At 40.6% G+C, this 22,461-nt stretch overlaps 1 long non-coding RNA gene across 2 annotated transcripts in view; it reads left to right on the top strand.

Annotated features, from left to right (window-relative positions):
* The window catches only part of APP-DT (APP divergent transcript), a 46,518-nt gene extending 29,465 nt beyond the window's left edge, over positions 1 to 17,053 (top strand). For both annotated transcript variants that reach the window (NR_186396.1, NR_186395.1), the window contains 2 exons: positions 14,414 to 14,530; positions 15,371 to 17,053. This is a non-coding gene — a long non-coding RNA (APP divergent transcript). The remainder of the gene's footprint in view (positions 1 to 14,413; positions 14,531 to 15,370) is intronic.
* Positions 17,054 to 22,461: the final 5,408 nt, after the last annotated feature.

A 22,461-nucleotide genomic window follows, 5' to 3' on the forward strand; every position in this document is an offset into this window, starting at 1 on the left:
TTAAATATATTATTTGTACATGTAATTTTGCTGCATAGAACAACTGGATTTCTGGATAAGTAGCTTGAATGTTATGTCCTAGAGAATAGGAGTTTATTACTTGCTAATATGGCTTATTACATTCTGATGAATATTTTGACTATGATCTGAGTTGAATTGATAGGAATACATTTTCGAAGTACTTAAAAATTATTTATGGTGGTTCTTTTGTAGTGTTTTCCTTTTTATAAAACCACACTGTCTGAGAAGAACTCTCTTACTTCTGTGTCTTAACTTGTGGGAACAATTTATTTATTTATTTATTCATATTAGAGATGGGGCCTCATAATGTTTCCCAGGATGGCCTCAAACTTCTAGGCTCATGGGACCCTCCCGCCTCAGCCTCCCAAGTAGCTGGGCCTACAGATGCCCACTGCTGTCCCCGACTATCTATATGAATTATCTTTATCATTGAAAATTTAGGCCAGGCGAGGTGGCACATGCTTGTAATCCTAGCACTTTGGGAAGCTGAGGCAGGTGGACTACTTGAGCCCAGGTGTTCAAGACCAGCCTGGGCAACATGGTGAAATCCTGTCTCTGTGAAAAATAAAAAAATTAGTCAGGGGTAGTGGTGCACACCTGTGGTCCCAGCTACTCAGGAGGCTGAGATAGGATTGCTTGAGCCTGGGAGGTTGAGGCTGCAGTGAGCTGAGATGGCACCACTGCCTTCCAGCCTGGGTGACAGAGTGAGACCCTGCCTCAGGAAAAAAAAAAAAGAAAAAAAGAAAAAGAAATTTTATCAATGTGTTTGTGCTGGTGTCAGTTTAAAGCCTATAGAGAGTCTTGGAATTTATGGGATGTTGAATTTTTAAAAATTCATTTGTATTAAGTGGACTTTTTATAAAAGAGTAAATACCTAATTAAAATAATATTTTATCTGATGTTACCAAAGAGTTCTTCATTTCAACGTTCCATCCCTGAGTAAGTTAACTTATGAGGAATGAATTATATTACCTAGCAACCTCCATCCATCTTACCACATTGTTAAAAGCCTATATTCTGCAAATAATTCACGTAATGAAACAATAGGCATAAATTAAGTTATACATTTAATTAACATATACATAATTAAATTATATATACCAAGAAACATTAAACTTTTAAACAATTATAACCAAATTCATTGCTCATTTCTTCTAAATCGATATTTACATCTTTATTGTTAATTTCTAAGAAAAGCCTTAATAAGAAAAATAACCTAGGAGTATCTTGAATTAGCAAATGTATGTTTTATAGAAATTCTACATTTTATAGATTCTATCACTGCTTCTACAGTACATACATTTTTATATTTATGGATTCATTGGTATCCTATAAATAGCCTGGATTTTTAATATAATTTATACTACTAGAGTATAAATTATACTCTAGTATAATGGTTCTCAGGTGCGCATATCAGAAGACAAACACAGAGATGGTTGACATTGACATATAGCAGACTTTTATCCCCCTAAAAATGCATTTTTTTTAGCAGGTTCAAAATTGGAAGCATGAATTGAAACAACACAGAAATAACATGTTTGCTTACAGTGGATAAATTTTGTACTATTTTATAGAAAACCTCTACAAATTTAAGACAAGTTACCGAGCTTGTTGACAAGTTATGAGGCCATATGAAAAGCAAACACACAAACAACAACAAACTAGGCACTAAGAAAAAGTAAAAGGAAATTAAAGTTGGTCATTGCAATTTAATTAAGACAATAGTTTGAATGCAAATGAAGACATAAGACAAATTCAATGGAACATTAGAAATTGTCTTGCTTGGTACTGTAGTTTATATAAGCAGAAGCGGAGACATACTGAGGTTAAGTTTTCATCCAAAGTCACCATTAGATTGTGGCAGAGCTGGCTCCTGTCTCTTGTTGAGTCTTCTTTTCACTGCCTGACATTGCCTCTTATAAACAGGACATGGTGCCAGTTAATTATAATTGCTTAAGAAAAAGCAATTGAAAAAATGGTGAATGGTAATTACATATGGGCTGAAATAACATTGATATAATCAGGAATATTTGGGGGAGGAAACACCATTCTAGAACATCTATTTCAACCTTGGCAAGCTGGAATGACAATCTGCAACTTTATTTTTACCAGTTATCACTTACTGGTATAATGAAACAAATGCTAACCGTAAAATTTAATTATTAAATCAAATATTAAAATAATTTATAAACATGTTTAAATCACATTGCACAAAGGAAAGAAAAGGGGTTGTATCATTTTCAGGCATAAAATCATTTCCTTCTTCCTTTTAATTTGATGTTAGACCAGCTTTTTTCATAGTCAAATTTGTACGGAAATGCCCAGAGAGGGCAAACAAGGAGCTTAACAGATGTCATTTTGCTATTCTGTGAAGCTAAATAGAACTGTAGTTTATTGAATGATTTCTCTTACTTCTACTTCTGCTTGAATGTAGATTGGGGGATGGATAGTAGCTGAGTCCAATTTAATTTGTTCAATTACTCACCATTTGATTTATTTATATCATATGATAAATTAATCAGTTTGTTTTAATCTATACTCTGTATAGGGTTTACAATAAGAACATCATTTAAAGTATGGAGTGCAACTCTTACAGGTTATATATATTCATTTTATTTTACGAAAATTTAATGTCATATACTTATGCATTTAATAATATATACCAAATATTTATAACAATTCATCAAGCTTGACATTTTTTTAAACAAGAATAAAATTTCAAGAAAGTTGGAAGAAAATACAAAGAATTTTTGCTCCCTCTCCTCATCCATTTGAAAGCAAATTGCCAATACGATGCCTTATGACCCCAGAATGCCTCGGTAGATTACAAATGAAGACACTATCATACAACAAAATACAACCATTGAAATCAGGAAATTAACCTTGATATTATTAACATCAAGCTTGCCAGTTGTGTAGAAAGAGGATCCAGTTTAGAATCATGGGCTGCATTTTACTGCCCTGTCTCTTAAGCATTTGTAGGCTTTGGAAAGTTTAAATTTTTTCTTGAGTTTCATAAATTTGACAATTTTGAAACTCATAGCCTAGATATTTTGTGGACTATCACTTAATATGGATTTGGCTGATTTTATCTCATGATTAAATCCATGCATCTTTGGCAGGGATATCACAGAAATAATGCTGCTCCCTCATTGCATGCTGTCTGTGGTGCATGACTGTGACTTGTTCAGTTACTGATGATGCCTCTGTGATAACTGGGTTAAAGTGGTGATTGCCAGGTTTCTTCACAGTCGTTTACTCTTTCCTCTTTAAGAAATAATAAGTATTTCATGGTGAAGTACTTTAAAACTCTGCAAACATCTCATTCCTCTTCAAACTTTCATGTTATTCATTTCTTTCTTTATATCTTTTCTTTTTCTTTTCTTTCTTTCTTTTTTTTTTTTTTTTTTTTGAGACAGAGTTTCACTCTTGTCACCCAGGCTGGAGTGCAATGGCATGATCACGGCTCACTGCAACCTCTGCCTCCTGGGTTAAAGTGATTCTCCTGTCTCAGCCTCCTAAGTAGCTGGGATTACAGGCACCCACCACCATACCCAGCTAGTTTTTGTACTTTTTGTAGAGACAGGATTTCACCATGTTGGCCAGGCTGGTCATGAACTCCTGACCTCAGGTGATCCACCTGCCTGGGCCTCCCAAAGTGCTGGGATTACAGGCATGAGCCACCACACCTGGCCTCTTTCTTTATACCTTTATAGATTTGTGGTCTACTTATTTAATGGACTAAAATCCACTACTATGATTATTTATTTTAATGTTCCAATTGTTGCTGTGGGCACCACTTTGATTGCTTTTATAATCTTTTGATATTTCTCTATTATTCTTTAAGTATTTCCTGACTTTCTGGTACAGCAAAAGATTCTAGGCTCATTTTGTACTTTTTCTTTCCCATCCAGGAATTGGTCATTTTGCTAAAGGGTCCTGTTTCTTTGTAACGAGAATAGTATTTAGAAGCCAAGATTTGGTTGCTAAATGTACTCATTACTCTTGGGGTGCCACTGCCTCCAGACTGTTTCAGAGGACAAAAACTAAGGAATATATAATAATATGCAGACATGCACCCATATATATGTTACTTATATGTCTACATTTATATACATTTATAAATTCATACCAATTCCTTCCATTTCAGTTCAATACCATTGAGTTCATTCTATTTTTCTTTCATTTCAATATTTGTAGCTTTCTTCTCTGACAGTTGAGAAACCTGGTTTGCCAATTATACTGAATATATTTATTTATTTCATCACACCTGTTTCCCTCCAACAGTCCGCTATATGTGGCTAAGCTTCCATTGCCATTCTACTCTCCACCATCCACGGGTGCTGTTGCATTCTGCTTAGGCTCTGCTGGCCTCGGCCAGGCCATCCCTCCATGAAGATGCCGTCTTTTTTTCTTTTTTTGAGATGGAGTCTCGCTCTGTCGCCCAGGCTGGAGTGCAGTGGCACGATCTCGGCTCACTGCAAGCTCTGCCTCCCAGATTCACGCCATTCTCCTGCCTCAGCCTCCCGAGTAACTGGGACGGACTACAGGCGCCCACCACCGCGCCCGACTCATTTTTTTTTTTTTTGTATTTTCAGTAGAGATGGCATTTCACCATGTTAGCCAGGATGATCTCGATCTCCTGACTTTGTGATCCACCTGCCTTGGCCTCCCAAAGTGCTGGGATTACAGGCATGAGCCACTGCACCTGGCCTTGTTATGGTGCCTTTTTATTTCTTTGCTCCTAAGAAATAGTCCTGGACTTTGTGATGCTACCTTACTGTAACATCAATGTTAATGCTTTTAAATATTTTCCACAGGTGTTAAGTCATTTATTACTTTACTAAGTCACAGAGTGCCATACATTTTATATGAAGGATAGGGATCCATTTCCTCAAATTATAACTGCTAGTAAGACAGAAGCATAGTGTGATGGTTTATTTTAGGTGTCAACTTGACTGGATTAATGGATACCTACATAACTGGTAAGACATTCTGTCTGGGTGTGTCACACCAATCTCTTAGATGGACTAAACCGGGAAGATCCACCCTCAACACAGGTGAGCACCATCCAATCGGCTGGGGGACCACATAGAACAAAAAGGCAGAGAAAAGGTGAATTTGATTTCTCTCTCTTCTGGAGCTGGAACACCCTCTTCTGCTGCCCTTGGACATCAGAATCCCAGGTTTTCCAGCATTTGGGCTCCAGGACTCATAAAAGAAGCAGCCCTCTGTGTAATCAGGCTGTAAGCCTCAGACTGAGAGTTACATCGTCAGCTTCTTTTGTTCTGAGGCTTTCTGACTTGGGCTGACCCGTGCTGCCACCTCTCCTGATTCTCCAGCTTGCAGACTCCCTATGGTGGGACTTCTTAGCTTCCATGATCATGTGAGCCAATTCCCCTAATAAATTTCCTGTTATCTATGTAACTATCTGCCATTGGCATCCAAACCAGAGTGATTCACTCTTCAATAAAGGCTGAATGAAGTGAGACCTTCTAGGTTACATTCCCAGGAATTTAGGTACTCTTGGTCATAAGATGTTTATGGTTGAAGGAACAAGTTAATTATGCTAATTAAGACCCAGAACTTAAGGAAATGTCCTGATATCCAGATATCTTAAGAACAGACCAGGCAAGGTGGTGCACACCTACAATCCCAGCACTTTTGGAGGCTGAGGCAGGTGGATCACTTGACCAGACTGGGCAATATAGTGCAACTCCATCTCTCCAAAAAATACAAACATTAGCCAAGAGTGATGGCACACACCTGTGACCCCAGCTACTTAAGAGGTTGAGGTGGGAGGATTACCTGAGTATGGGGACATCCAGGCTGCAGTGAGCCATGATTGTGCCACTGCACCCCAGCCTATGCAACAGAATAAAAAGCATTCTTAGTTTAGGAATAGGTTTCGCTTTAAAGATTATAGTACATCCATAAATTCTTGCTGATATCAATAGGTAAACAAAAGAAGAACAATACTAATAGACTGTTACAAGCTAATCACAAGCCTTTGTATAATAATAAAGCACATTATTCTTAGTTCTAACATTGTATATAAGCAAGCATTATGTTTGACGTAGGGGCGTTCCTTCTCTCGCTTTCTGAGGATGCCCTACTCTGTAATAAGAGTAGTCTCTAGTAAACTATCTTAATTTCACTCTACTCTGCTACTCACACTGAAGTCATTCCTGTCTGAAATCCAAGAACCCACTCTTGGGGTCTGGGACAAGACCCTTTTTCTAGTAACATCTATCTATCTTCTATCTATCTCCCGCCTATTGGTTCTATCTCTTTGGAGAACTCTAATACACACAGTAAAGTTAAGATTAACACACAGAAGCAGGTCATGGATTATTCAGGTGGAACCACAGGGGACATTTGGTTGGGATTGCATGATTAACGCCCTACCATGTCATGTCATTGATCAATGGTCACTTCTTTCCTGAGCATTAGCATGTCTCTAAGATTTGCTCTTATCTATCAAATGAATGCAGAATGCCATTCATGTGATAAACCCCAACAGGTCCCACAGAATTTTCACAGTCTATTGTGTCAAGTTGTACTTAAGAGAGATTTTTTACTTTATGGATCAATGACTGGATAGATCAAAATGAATCCTTTAAAGCTATCATATTTTATCAGTTTGCTGCAGTTGTCTTGCAGGCTCAATGAAACCATGTTTCCTAGAGTCCAAAAATCTGGGAGGTGACCATCGACTCTTCTAGATGAGCTGGTGTTCTCTGCTTAACTAACTGCTCAAGTTCATTCCATGAGGGAGAAACCTCCCTTTTTGACTTTGAATACCACTGCTGAGAATTGTGCTTCTATTTCACTTTGTGGAATGCTTGAAGTGATTTTTACAGAATTCTTTTTGGAAATGTTAATACTTGTGGAACAAATGGCTTATTGTTAAACTTGGAGCTGGAAGACCTGGATTTGAATGCGGATATTGCCAGTTACTAGCAGTGTGACCTCAGTTTCTTCAGTAAAACAGGATATTATCATTGTCTGACAAAGTTTTTTGGGCCTCAGTTAAAAAAATGTTAAGTTAAAGTCATTTCGGTTCTTGAAAGTGCCAAGCAAATGTGAGGCACTATTAGTATTTTGTAAAAAGCCATTTCTTTAAAGGGAAGACAATTCATGAAGAAAAAATTCAAATGAAAGCAAAGTAATAAATAAAATTACCGTAAGAACTGATGAGAGAATTCTGATTTTGTAGATGGAAATTTGTTTTTGAATTTAATGAATATACATATATTTACTCCTTTAAGTAGTTATTTTATGTTTCAAAAAGATTCAAACATTTTAATTGCAAAAAGTCTTTGCCTTGCTTTAAAAGCAAGTTTAATTTCAGGGACAATACACCTATTCATTACCCAAACCATTCCTAAGCAGTAACAGCCTTAAGAGCCTATTAATGTAAGGGGGGGTGTTAAGTCTTATTCAAAATGAATTGAACCCCTGACTCCAAGTCAGCTAGTTTATATTCTAAGACAATGAAAATTAAGAACAATGATTTAGCGACTCGAGAAGACTCAATCTAATATGATCCGAAAAAGGCCAATTATCGTAACTCTTTTAGCCAATATTAACTTCTGAATGTGTCAAATTCTCCATCTTGGAAAAACTGTGTTGACTCCAGCAGACATAAGAAGTTTTCTTCTCTCATTAACAAACCTTCTATGTTAGACCAGAGGAAGAAGCATTTAACTGGCATTATTCTAAAAATAATGAAACAATTCAACAAATACATATTTTATAATGATTTTGTATTAAAATAGAACTGGTTTTACTTAATTGGTTGTAATTTAAAGTTCAAAATCTTAAAAATATATTTGTTGTAAAAATGTCACCAGGTTCTGTGTTATCTCTTTTCAATTTTCCTTGAAAGAGTTGCTCATTATGATATTTAAATTCTTGTGTCTTACATTTGAAAATTAGTACTGATTTTTCAATACAAAAAATCCTATCGAAACAGCTTGAAATCTTAGCAGTCTTTGTACTTTTCATAACATATTTTATTATACATATTTTATATACAAATAAATAATTAAAAATATATAAATTTTATTTTTAATTTTTTTGAAACAGGGTCTTGCTCTGTCACCCAAGCTGGAGTGCCATGGCACGATCTTGGCTCACTGCAACCTCCACTTCCCAGGTTCAAGTGATTCTTCTGCCTCAGCCTCCCAAGTAGCTGGGATTATAGGTGTGCACCACCATGCCTGGCTAATTTTTCTATTTTTAGTAGAGACGGGGTTTCACCATGTAGGCCAGGTTGGTCTTGAACTCCTGACCTCAAGTGATCCACCCGCCTCAGCCTCCCAAAATGCTGGGATTACAGGTGTGAGCCACTGCATCCAGCTCTGTATTATATACTGTAGTAGTCTGTACAAACAAAAGCATGTATAGAATTTTGGCATTCATGTTGAAAATATGACCACAGATTTCTTCTTAGGTACATGGGAAGATTGCCTTGTATTCTAGTTTTAGGTTTCAGCAATTTCACCACTGACCATTTTATTGAAATCATGTAGTGCTGTAGGTAGTCAGATAATGAGATGCCACTTAAAAGGCCTGAAATACTTGGGGTTGCATAATGGGGATGTATGTACTACGTTAGAGGCTAATTCCAAAATTTGGGGAAAGACTAATAAAATGTTTCTCTTGTCAACTGAAGAATGATGAGGTTCATAAATTTAGAAAGGTGAGCTTTGTTTTTTATAAAGAATTGCAGCCCTCGGGTGGCCATTCTGACAGGGTTGGAAGTGTAGCCTCCTGCCAGAAGCCAGAAACCGGCACTTTGAGGGAGGGAAGAATAAGACAGGAATTTATGCTGAATGCGGTGGTTGAATATACATTTTTGTTTGTTTGTTTGTTTGTTTGTTTAGACAGAGTCTTGCTCTGTCACCCAGGCTGGAGTGCAGTGGCACAATCTCAGCTCACTGCAACCTCTGCCTCCCAGGTTCAAGTGATACTCCTGTCACAGTCTCCCGAGTAGCTGGGATTACAGGCACCCACCACCACGCCTGGCTTATTTTTGCATTTTTTAATAGAGATGGGGTTTCACCATGTTGGCTAGGCTGGTCTCAAACTCCTGACCTCAAGTGATCCATCTGCCTCGGCCTTCCAGTTGTTTGTTTTTGAGGCAGAGTCTCACTGTTGCCCAGGCTGGAGTTCAGTGGCCCCAACTTGGCTCACTGCAACCTCTGCCTCCCAGGTTCAAGTGATTCTCATGCCTCAGCCTCCCAAGTAGCTGGGGTTACAGGCGTGTGTCACCAAGCCTGGCCAATTTTTGTATTTTTAGTAGAGACGGGGTTTCGCCATGTTGGTCAGGCTGGTCTTGAACTTCTGGCCTCAAGTGAGCCTCCCGTCTCAGACTCCCAAAATCCTGGGATTACAGGCATGAGCCACCATGCCCCACCTGAATATACATATTTAATCAGCTATAGGAAAAGGCACAAATATACGAAAAGAGAAACGTGCACATAGTTGAGCTTCATGCCTGTCCATGGGCATCATGTTCAAAATATGGTGGCATTAGTATAATCTGAGGATGGAGTTTTCAGCCCTCTGACTCAAAAGGTGAAGCAGGCAACACAAAAACCCTCACTATGCATCCTCTATAAACCGGCCAGAGCCACTTCATGTTCGGTGTTCTTTTGTCAGGAAGGAAAGCTGAGTGGTCGTTTTGTCAAAACTGCAAAAGGAAGGATAGTCACAAGGTTGGTGGAAATCACTGGCGGAGCCAGTCTTTCCCAATGGCTGGTTTCTGTTTAACCCTTAAGAAAGAAAGCCTCATGGCTGTTAGCAAGGTTGCAGGGGAGGTGAACGAGGCATGTTCAATCTTCCATGTCATCATGGCCAGGAGCACAGTTTTCAAGGTTTCTCTGCAGTACCCTTTGCCAAGAGAGAGTTCTATTCAGCTGGTTGGGGGGCTCAGGATTTTATTTTTATTTCTCACTCTTAAGGGGAACATCAACTTAGAGGGTCTTGTCCATGAGACTGAAATGTCTTCCAGTTGTCTTCGAGAAGAATGTCCTCATTTGAGTTTCCCTGAAAGCAGAGGGCCTGAGACAAGTATGTGGGCTCAGGTAGTTTCTTTGGGAATTAATCCCAGGAAGCAGAAGTGAGAGAGTAGAGGCATGGGAAAACATGGAGTTATTGAGCTAGCTACCCCTGTGGAAAACTGGGGCTCCATTCTGTTGAAGAGCTTCTAAGAAACTTTGTGGAATCCCTCAGACATGTTTCAGGGAAGGACAGGGAGACTGGGACACCCGTCTATTAATTCAGTCTCCCATTGATTGTGGGTTTTGCTAGAGGCACTTTGGCACCATGCACTTCCAAGTGTGCCTGTTTAGGGGAGAGGCAGGCTGAGTTGCTTTCAGTGACTGCAGAGAAATCCAAATTGTGAGATGCCACAGCACAGCTTGAGGTGGGATGCTGGTTGCTTGCACAGACTTGTCCTTCGCAGCAGTGCTGAAATCTAGTGGCCAAGGGAAGTGGTTGAGGCACCACAAGTGTCTGCTACAGATAAGAGAAAGCAAATAGTATAAAAGAAGTTATTATCCAATTATTTCTAATAGAGTTGAGGGAGTGTCATTGCTGTAGGGTCATGGTCTGTACAGAGTGGTGTATGAGATGAGGACGTGCTACCCCAAAATATGCCTCTTTGGCGTAAAGATTACTTTGAGCTGATCATTTTTAGACACTAGACACAAGAGAAGTTTTGAAAACACAAACATTTCCCTTTTGTAAGGGAAACTTACACCTATAAAGAAAAATGTCCATTTGTAAGTGTGTCTCCCTCTCTGTACGAAGAAGGGAAAGATGATTAAATTACTAGAGACCCACCCACCTAAATCTGCATAACAAGCCTTACTCTTATTTACTGTGCTGTTTCCAGTCACATCCCCATTACTGGCCTTCCCAACACCCTTCTTTCTTTGTTTCAGCAGAAGATGGTGCTTAAGCCTGAATTCTAAGTCACCTCTTGGAGATTTGCTCATTTCTTTGGGTATCTCCCAGTATACATGAGGTATATATGTTATTAAACTTCCGTTTGCTATACTATGCAGCCATAAAAAAGGATGAGTTCATGTCCTTTGTAGGGACATGGATGAAGCTGGAAACCATCATTCTGAGCAAACTATCGCAAGGACAGAAAATCAAACGCCGCATGTTCCCACCCATAGGTGGGAAATGAACAATAACACTTGGACACAGGGTGGGGAACATAACACACTGGGGCCTGTCGTGGAGTCGGGGTAGGAGGAGGGATAGCATTAGGAGAAATACCTAATGTAAATGACAAATTAACGGGTGCAGCAAACCAACATGGCACATGTATACATATGTAACAAACCTGCACGTTGTGCACACGTACCTTAGAACTTAAAGTATAATAATAAAAGTAAATAAATAAATAAACTTCCGTTTGCTTTTCTCTTGTTAATGTGTCTTCTGTTACAGGGGTCCATCTCAACTAAGAACTCTGAAAGTTAGAAAGAAAATTATTTTTCCTTCCCTACAGTTTAAAATGAGAGTTAAAGGCATTTTCTTGTATTACACAGAAGAAGGAGAATGCTGTGATTTTTCTTGATTAATGTTGAGTATCGAAATGGATGTCTTTCTATAATGACTGGAGTCTAATTAGCTATCCTGATTTGAAGAAAGCAGGTTTTCAGAAACACAGTGTCATATGTTCCTCCTAAGTTCATTAAGTAACCAGTGATCTGCAATTTGGTATCCCAGATGGACCTACCCTCAGGAAGTGAATGTCCTGTGCAAAGGGCTATTTTTCAGATAAAGCTCCCAAGATATGGAATAGTGTTGTAGAAAAAAATTGGGTTCTTGTCATGCGACCAGGAAAATTTAGACATGCAGATGCATTGTAGGGTGAGTAGGGCAGGATTTATTAAGTGAAAAGAAAATGGGAAAGAGGAACTCTCAGCAAAGCGAGAGAGAGTCCTGCCAGCAGGTCTCTTGCCTCACAGATTGAATCCCAGGTCACCACCCAGGAACTGAAGAGGCCAGGCTCCTCCCCGCTGCAAAAGGTGCAGACTTCCCAAGGCTCCGCCCTCGTCCTCCCGGTGCATAGGTGGACATTATTCAGAATCAGTCGGGAAAGGGCGGGTTTCATCTGGGACCAGCAGTTTGGTTTTTCAGCCTTCAGGCTGTTTTATGCTTGGAGGTGGGGACCCTTTCGCCGGGGACCCATGGCTGGCTTCTGTCTCTATCAATAGCATATTTGAGTGCAGGGCTGAGGCAGCCTCTTGGAGGCTTATTATCATGTATCAAATTCTTACCCCAGAGAAAATCAGAGTTGTGATTTGAAGCGTTATTAGGGTAATTGCATCTGAGATTTTGAATAATCATCAACAGTCACCTAATCTGCATCACTTATTTTATAAAAAGGCTAATAGACATTAATAATTTACCTAACATCAAATAGTTTGTGAACAGACAGGCTGGAACTCTTCAGACTGGAATTCAGTTCAATACTCTGCAATGGCATCATAGATAATATGCATTTGTCAATTTGCATAATCAATATTTTATTTTTGTACCATGCAGGATCATTGTTTAAGTACACAGTGATATACTTCCTGACCTTTAGAATTTTAAATCACTGGGCTTAGTGAAATCCCCCAAACACATTTAAAAACTCATAGAAAGGCATATGAATGCAAGCATTTGGAGTGTTCTGAATACCAAAAGCCAAAACCAGTACAGGTAAATGACAAGCATCACTTAAAAAGAATGTCTGAACAGCTGGCTGAATAAATCAGCCAAAGTTGAAACACTCTTTTCACTTGTCTGTGAAATTTTTCTTCCTAGAAGTGAGGGAGTCCCTTGAGGGAAAGAGGATAACAGGTAAGCGTATTCACTGTTTGCCACTTCTAGAAATAAAATGCTGCGTATGTATTCATATGTATGATATATAACACACAACTAAACTTTTTTTTTTTTGAGACAATGTCTCTCTTTGTTGCCCAGGCTGGAATGCACTGGTGTAATCACAGCTCATGGCTCACAGCCCACCTCCTGGGCTCAAGGGATCCTCCCATCTCAGCCTTCCGAGTGGCTGGGACCATAGGTGCACACTACCATGCCTGGCTAATTTTAAAATTTTTTATAGAGATAGGGTCCCATTACGTTGCCCGGGCTGGCCTTGAATTACTGGCCTCAAGCAATCCTCTGGCCTTGGCCTCCCAAAGTGCTGGGATTACAGGTGTGAACCACTGCACCCAACCACAAGTAAACTTTTGAATCCAAGGAGACACATGGTGTGGGGTCCAGACTGCTGTGACCATCCTATGTCAGGACAAGTCTAGTGCTTCACTATCAAAGACATTTCTGAAACATGGCCTGGGCTTGGTGGCTCACGCCTGTAATCCCAGCACTTTGGGAGGCCGAGGCAGGCAGATCACCTGAGGTCCAGAGTTCGAGACCAGCTTGGCCAACATGGTGAAACCCTGTCTCTACTAAAAATACAAAAATTAGCCTGGCATGGTGACGACCTCCTGTAATCGCAGCTACTAGGGAGGCTGAGGCAGGGGAAACGCTTGGACCTGGGAGGTGGAGGTTGCGGTGAGCCAAGATTGCATCACTGCACTCCAGCCTGGGTGACACAATGAGATACTATCTTAACAAACAAACAAGCAAACAAACAAAAAATGAAAGAAAGAAAGAAAGAAAAAGAAATTTCTGAAGCAGAATAAAACACCAGCCACTGAAATTGGATTTAATATAAGTGCTTTGTGACTTTGGTTTATACTTTTGTTGCTAGGGACATGGAATTTTCATTTTTACCTCCAGCTTGGAACCAGCCATAAGCCAGTGTCTCCTCATGGCTAGCTAAGAGCATTTCCTAGTCTGTTTGGGAAGGAGATAGAACCTCATTTTCCTTTCTACATTCCCTATGAGGCACTCAAATTCCTTGAAATCATATTTCCCAGGAATCACAAATGAACCAATCTAAACTCTGTGGGGATGATAGACTTTCTTGAGGTCCTCTGGATTTCCTAGGTCCAAGGATTGGTATTTGTGGTAGTGGGTGATGCCCAAGGGTGAAGGAGAACTGTTACTATATTCAGAACCCTGAGAGTTCATTCTGTCCTTCACTTGAAGGAAAACTATCAACAGGTAACAGCACCCCTTAGACTTGCTCCTTCTTCTGTGGATGCCCTTTTCTGGCCATGGGCACTTGAAGGAAATGAATGAGAGACCCAGGACATAGGCGCTGGGGAAGGAGTAGAGATTGATGTCAGCTCTTTCCTGGAAAGGTTAACAGAAACTACAGGGCATGATTTATTGAAATAATCTGGGTGAAAATGCTTGTATATGCTAATCTTATTTTTTATTTTATTTTGTTTTATTTTTGAGACAGGCTCTCCCTCTGTCACCCAGGCTGGAATGCAGTGGCATGATCTTGGCTCACTGCAGACTTCGCCTCCGAATTCATGTGATTCTCCCACCTCAGCCTCCTGAGTAGCTGGGATTACAGGTGCGTCCCACCACTTCTGGCTAATTTTTTTTTATTTTTTTATTATTATTTTTTTTTTAGTAGAGACAGGGTTTCACCATGTTGGTCAGGCTTGTCTGGATCTCCTGACCTCAGGTGATCCGCCCGCCTCGGCCTCCCAAAGTGCTGGGATTACAGGTGTGAGCCACCGTGCCTAGCCTAATCTTATGTTTTAATTTCAAATATTATTTTTATAATTAATGTTCACATCCCTTATTTATTGAATGAAAACAATGCAATGGGTTAGATAAGTGCTAGAACTAATGCTCTATAATAAACTCTAAAAAACCCTAGCCGGCTGGGCGCAGTGGCTCATGCCTGTAATCCCAGCACTTTGGGAGGCCGAGGCGGGCGGATCACAAGGTCAGGAGATCGAGACCATCCTGGCTAACACAGTGAAACCCCATCTCTACTAAAAATACAAAAAATTAGCCGGGCATGGTGGCGGGTGCCTGTACTCCCAGCTACTCAGGAGGCTGAGGCAGGAGAATGGTGTGAACCCGGGAGACGGAGCTTGCAGTGAGCCGAGATTGAGCCACCTCACTCCAGCCTGGGTGACAGAGCGAGACTCCATCTCAAAAAAAAAAAAAAAAAAAACACCCTTTCTTGGTGGAAAACGTCAAAACTATTTAAAGGGAGTGAGAATAGTATAACGAACCTGGGTATGCATCTAATCTAGCTCCAACAATTATACAATATCAGTTCACAGCCAATTTTATTTGATCTATATCTCTCTCTGTCCCTCCTCAAATTATTTCGAGGCAAATACCGGACATATTTACATTTACCTTTAATCTTTTCTTTTCTTTTTTTTTTTTTTAGATACAGGGTCTCACTCTGTTGCCCAGGCTGGAGAACAGTGGCACGATCATGCGTTATTCACTGCAGACTTGAACTCCTGGCCTCAAGCAATCTTTCTACCTTGACCTCCCAAAGTGCTGGGATTACAGGTGTGAGCCACTGTGTTTAGCCTAGACTTACCTTTAATAGCTTTTGATAAGTTATTTTTTAATGTAATTTTGATAAAATAATTGTACCTAAAATGTACTAATGTGTTGGTATTGTCTACTATCCAATCTACGAACAAATTTTACTGATTCATTCGTAACTGACCCCAGAGTTGGTTTGTTTGAATCACTGTAACTGAGCCTCTATTATAAAGATCATACGATGTTTGTTTTACCTACTTTCCCTTTCCCCTTGTCCTTTTCTTGCTCTATGCGTGCTTGCTTGCATGTCATTATTTCAGTAGAGGGTAGTCACTAATAATTGATTAACTTCATATCCTAACCTACAGGGGTGCCTGGCAGATTGATGAACTTGTTTTTCTTTTAAAGAACCATGATCCTTAGGTTATGCAGACCTCCTTGATGGTGTCCAGAAATTTGGGTAGAGGGATGCCAACAGCTTTGATCACTGGGGGAGTTTCATCTCCCATATACCCACCTTACTCATACAAGTCCCCAGTTAAATTCAAAGGCAGGGCAGATTTGAGAGACTGTCTCTCCTGCCCTCTTGCTTTGGTCAAATTGAATAAACCTTTCTCTGTTCCTGAGTGCTGATGTGTCAGTGTTTGGCTTACCATGCATCAGGTGCACAGACCTAAATTTGGAGATTCTGTAACATCAAGACCCATATGACGTTCACATACTGGATTAGGCTGATGACTCATATATCTCTCTTTTAATGTGTGACCATTTACATCTCTTTCTCTCTCTCCTCCCTTTTTTTTTTTTTTTTGGCAATTTCTTTGTTATTAATGGTCTTGTTTTAAAGTGAAGTATTGTCATTTAAGTTTATATATCAATGTTATCATTATTTGTTTATTTACAACAAAGTTTTATGCCAAGGCAGTCATGCCATTACCCACCTGACCTGCTTTTCCACCATCAGTTTTACCTGTGTGTGTCCCTGGATCATCAGGAAGCATTGATTGAGAATCTTTTTCTCTTAATCTGCCTTACTATTTTCTAATGTAGTTACTGATCAAACTTAGCAGTAACCCACTCATTTTGTGTGTAGGCAAAAGCAACTATGAATAAACAGAAGAAGTCTCCCACAGTGGGTAAATGTGTGGACCTGGGTTTGAAACCTGATGAAACTTGCTGGCTGTGACCCCTTGGGCCAGGGATTAACTGCTGTCACTCTTAGTTCCCTCAACCCTCAGGTGCATGTGATTATATTCACTGCCTGATATGGTTTGGCTCTGTGTCCCCACCCAACTCTCATCTTGTAGCTCCCATAATTCCCACGTGTTGTGGGAGGGACCCGGTGGGAGGTGATGGAATCATGGGGGTGGGTCTTTCCTGTGCTGTTCTTGTGATAGTGAATGTGTCTCATGAGATCTGATGGTTTTAAAAACGGGAGTCCTCCTGCACAAGTTCTCTCTTTGCCTGCTGCCATCCACATAAGATGTAACTTCCTCCTCCTTTCCTTCTGCTGTGATTGTGTATCCTCCCCAGCCACATGGAACTGTAAGTTCAATAAACTTCTTTCTTTTGTAAATTGCCCAGTCTCAGGTATATCTTTATCAGCAGCATGAGAACAGATCAATACAGTAATTTGGTAGCAGGTAGTGGGGTGCTACTCTAAAGATACCTGAAAATGTGGAAGTGATTTTGGAACTGGGTAACAGGCAGAGGTTGGAACAGTTTGGAGGGCTCAGAAGACAGGAAAATGTGGAAAGTTTGAAACTCCCTAGAGAGTTGTTGAATGACTTTGACCAAAATGGTGATAATGATATGGACAATGAAATCCAGGCTGAGGTGGTCTCAGATGGGGATGAGGAACTTTTTGGGAAGTAGAGCAAAGGTTATGTCTTGTTATGTGTTAGCAAAGAGACTGGTGGGATTTTGCCCCTGACCTAGAGATTTGTGGAACCTTGAGCTTGAGAGAGATCATTTAGGGTATCTGGCAGAAGAAATTTCTAAGCAGCAAAGCATTCAAGAGGTAACTTGGGTGCTGTTAAAGGCATTTAGTTTTATAAGGGAAGCAGGGCATGAAAGTTTGGAAAATTTGCAGCCTGACAATGCAATAGAAAAGAAAATCCCATATTCTGAGGAGAAAATCAAGCTGGCTGCAGAAATTTGCATATGTAACAAGGAGTTAAATGTTAATCCCCAAGACAATGGGGAAAATGTCTCCAGGGCATGCCAGAGGTCTTCACAGCAGCCCCTCCCATCACAGGCCTGCAGGCCTAGGAGGAAAAAGTGATCTCTTGGGCCAGGCCCAGGGTCCCCATGCTGTGTGCAGCCTGGGGACTTGGTGCCTTGTGTCCCAGCTGCTCCAGCCATGGCTGAAAGGGGCCAACATAGAGCTCGGATTGTGGCTTCAGAGGGTGCAAGCTGTAAGCCTTGGCAGCTTCCATGTGGTGTTGAGCCTGCCAGTGCACAGAAGTCAAAAATTGGGGTTTGGGAACCTCTGCCTAGATTTCAGAAGATGTATGGAAATGCCTGGATGCCCTGGCAGAAGTCTGCTGTAGGGGAGGGGCCCTCATGGAGAATCTCTGCTAGGGCAGTACAGAAGGGAAATGTGGGATCGGAGCCCCAGCACAGAATCCCTACTGGGGCACCGCCTAGTGGAGCTGTGAGAAGAGGGCCACCATCCTCCAGACCCCAGAATGATAGATCCACTGACAGCTTGCTCCATGCACCTGGAAAAACCGCAGACAACACCAGCCCATGAAAGCAGCTAGGCAGGAGGCTGTACCCTGCAAAGCCACAGGGGCGGAGCTGCCCAAGATCATGGGAACCCACCTCTTGCATCAGCATGACCTGGATGTGAGATTTGGAGTTAAAGGAGATCATTTTGGAGCTTTAAGATTTGACTGCCCCTCTAGATTTCAGACTTGCATGGGGCCTGTAGCCCCTTTGTTTTACTCAATTTCTCCCATTTGGAACAGCTGTGTTTACACAATACCTGTACCCCCATTGTATCTAGGAAGTAGCTAACTTGCTTTTGATTTTACAGGCTCATAGGTAGAAGTGACTTGCCTTGTCTCAAATGAGATGTTGGACTGTGGACTTTTGAGTTAATGCTGACATGAGTTAACACTTTGGGGGACTGTTTGGAGCACATGATTGGTTGTGAAATGTGAAGACATGAGATTTGGGAGGGGCAAGGTGTGGAGTGATATGGTTTGGCTCTGTGTCCCCACCCAAATCTCATCTTGTAGCTCCCATAACTCCCACTTGTTGTGGGAGGGACCCAGTGGGAGATGATTACATCATGGGGCTGGGTCTTTCTCTTGCTGTTCTCATGATAGTGAATGGGTCTCACAAGATCTGATGGTTTTAAAAACGGGAGTATGCCTGCACAAGCTCTCTCTTTGCCTGCTGCCATCCACATAAGATGTGACTTCCTCTTCCTTGCCTTCTGCCATGATTGTGTGGTCTCCCCAGCCATGTGAAACTGTAAGTACAATAAACTTCTTTCTTTTGTAAATTGCCCGCTCTTGGGTATGTCTTTATCAGCAGCATGAAAATGAACTAACACACTACCTTAGAGTGTTAGTGTGAAAAGAGGCAATGTTTGAAAATTTTTAGCTTGGTGCTGCCCACACTGTGAGCATTCAGTAATTGTGAGCTGTAATGCTCACTGTTGTGTTCCATTCCCACAGTAATTTTTGTGTATGTGTTTTGATTTTTTAGACTTAAAAAATACAGTTTTAGATTTATAGAACAATTGAACAGATAATACATAGAGTTCTATACACCCACCCCATCCCTACCTCTCAATTTCCCTCCACAATTTCCCCTATTATTAACAACTTGCATTGGTGTGGTACATTTGTTAAAATTAATGAACCAATATTGATACATGATTGTTAACTATAGTCCATAGTTTACATGAGGGCTCACTCTTTGTGTTGTGTACTTCTATGGTTTTGACAAGAGTATAATAACACATATCCACTGAAAGGGATCAGAATATGCTACCCCAAAATATTCTACTTTGGCATAAGAATTATTTTGAGCTGAAGGCAATTTAGAAGCAGCAGACTCAGGAAGAGCTCTCTGACCTCTCTTTTCTGCCTAAAAGCAGGGGATAAATTTCCCTTTTCCCATACTGAGGAGAGGAGAATGATTCTCCATTCTTACAACCAGAGAGAACTTGAGTTTGTGTAGCAAATCTCAGTAAACAGCCCTTATCTACCATGTACTTCCTAGTCACCTTCTCCCAATTTACCACCCCTAGGAACCCAAGCTCCCCATTTCTTTTGTCTAGTCATGTCTCCCCGAGTTATCATCCTTTGCTAAAATGGTGTATTAGTCCCTTTTCATGCTGCTGATAAAGACATACGCTAGACTGGGTAATTTATAAAGAAAAAGAAATTTCATGGACTCACAGTTCCATGTGGCTGAGGAGGCCTCACAATCATGGCAGAAGGTGAAAGATATGTCTTATATAGTGGCAGGCAAAAAGAGAGAGTGAGAACCAAACGAAAGGGTTTCCCCTTATAAAACCATCAGATCTCATGAGACTTATTTAGTACCATGAGAACAATATGGGTTAAACCCATGATTCAGTTATCTCCCACTGGGTCCCTCCCACAACATGTGGGAATTATGGGAGCTACAATTCAAGATGAGACTTGGGTGGGGACAGAGCCAAACCATATCACATGGTATATAAGCCCCAGGGTCTAACTACCTCTCTGAGTTTTCAGTTCTCTTCTATGAAGCCCCTGTGGACATAAAATTAAAAATAAACTTTGTCTGCCTCTTCTCTGATTAATCTATCTTTTTTCAGTTTAACTCTTAAATTCCAGCCACAGAAACTAAGAGGGTAGAGGAAGTTTTTCCTCCCCTACATATTCATTATAGTTTCATACAGAACAATTTAACCACCCTAAACATACCCTGTGTACCTATTCATCTTTCTCTCCCTCCCTTAAAATCTCTGGCAGCCACTGTCTTTACTGTCTCTATAGTTTTGCCTTTTCCAAAATGTCATATGGCTGGAATCATATAGCACGTATCTTTTTTAGTCTGCTGTCTTTCACTTAGCGATATGACTTAAAGTTTCATTTAAAAAAACGCATGTGATTTGTAGTTAATGGAAAGGATTACATAAAGCACATTTTATGTGAAGACATGGGAGTTGCTTTTGATATTTTTACTTCCTTGATTCAATATGAGACTGATTAGAGGGCTTTCTCTTCCAGCACTGACCAGAGGGTAGAAAGAAAAACGCGAGGATTCTGGATTCTCTCTTTATAAGCACATTGTTTATGGTTATAGCTCATCCAGGTTGAGTTTAGTGCAGTGGCTCCTACAGCTGATCCGTGAACTAGCTGCAACCTGAAAATACAGATTCCTTCATCCCTGGGAGTTTGTGACTCTGGAGCACTGGAGAAAGACCCAGGACTGCATTTTTAATGGGCTTCTCATGTGATACTTACTTATACAGAACCATTTCTTTGGTAGTAAAAAGGAATACCGGCTTTGGTCTCAGAGGATTTGGCGTCAAGTCCTCTCTCTTCATTGAAGCACCAAATATTTATTTAACTCCTCCCATGTGCCAGACCTTGGACCAGGCTCTGGATTGATACAACAGTGAGCTTAATAGTCATGCTTTCTACCCTTCACAAGCTTACACTGGAGAAGAGGCAGGCATTAAGTACACAATTACAGAAATAAATCTTATTCATCAACTATGCTAAGTGCTAAGAAAGAAAATACAAAATGCTATGAGAGAGTGTTAAAAAAGGGATCTGGCTTTGTTTGAAATGGGGTCAATGATTCACTTTTCCCTGAGATAATGACTTTGAACTGAGATATTATTTACGTGACATGAGGGAAAGATGTCTGCCACCCGGGCACACGAGGTCCATTTGGCTTGGAACACAAGGAGAGACAGAGATGAGGCTGCAAATTAACCACTTGATATCTGTCCTTCTGCAGATCAACAGCCAGGGTCACTGGGTGTCTAGCTATCCTCCTACTCAACTGCACTGAAATTTCTCCCAAATCTCCAAAACATGTTTAGTAATTCTGCCAGTTATATTTATCAAGAGCTTAAACAATCAGATTGTTAATAGCCTTTTCTTAAAAAGTGTTAGAATTTTAGTTGTTAGTGAATGATTCTTAAAAGGCTGTTCTGTCTTTGGGTTAGGGCCAATTGTTCATTTACTGAAAGATATACACGGAAAAGAAAAGGATCTGATTCTGCATTGCCACTACTTAAGCGCTGTGAAATGCTTGAGCTTTTGTCAGGTGTCTGTAGCCTCATTTCATCTTCACTGTAGACTTGTGGAAATGCATTATTATGACGCCAATTGTACAGATGCAGAAGTAAAGGCTGAGAGAAATGTAGAGGTTCACTGCATTGACATAGTGAGGAATTGATTGCAGTGGTTGGCTGTCAGGGAACAGTCAATGTCCCTAGCTAGGACAATTTTAATACTACCATTGTGTCAGTTTTGGGCCCCAGTTATGCATTCTCTTTTGGAAGACATACAACCTGGACATACTTATGTGAACCCCGAAAATCTGAGGCAGGTCTCAGTTAGTTTAGAAAGTTTATTTGCCAAGGTTGAGGATGCACGCCCATGATGCAGCCTCAGGAGGTCCTGAAGACATGTGCCCGAGGTGATCAGAGCACAGCTTGGTTTTATACATTTTAGGGAGACATGAGACATCAATCATCATATGTAAAATGAACATTGGTTTAGTCTGGAAAGGAGGGACAAATCGAAGCAGGGAGTGGGCTTCCAGGTCGTAGATAAGAGACAAATGGTTGCATTTCAAGTTTGTGATTAGCCTCTCCAAAGGAGGCCATCAGATATGCGTTTATCTCAGTGAGCACAGGGGTGACTTTGAACAGAATGGGAGGCAGGTTTGCCTTTAGCAGTTCCCAGCTTGACTTTTCCCTTTAGCTTGATGATTTTGGGGGTCCAAGATATTTTCCTT

The sequence above is a fragment of the Homo sapiens genome, chromosome 21 (genome assembly GCF_000001405.40).
Source record: "Homo sapiens chromosome 21, GRCh38.p14 Primary Assembly".
Lineage (NCBI taxonomy): Eukaryota > Metazoa > Chordata > Mammalia > Primates > Hominidae > Homo > Homo sapiens.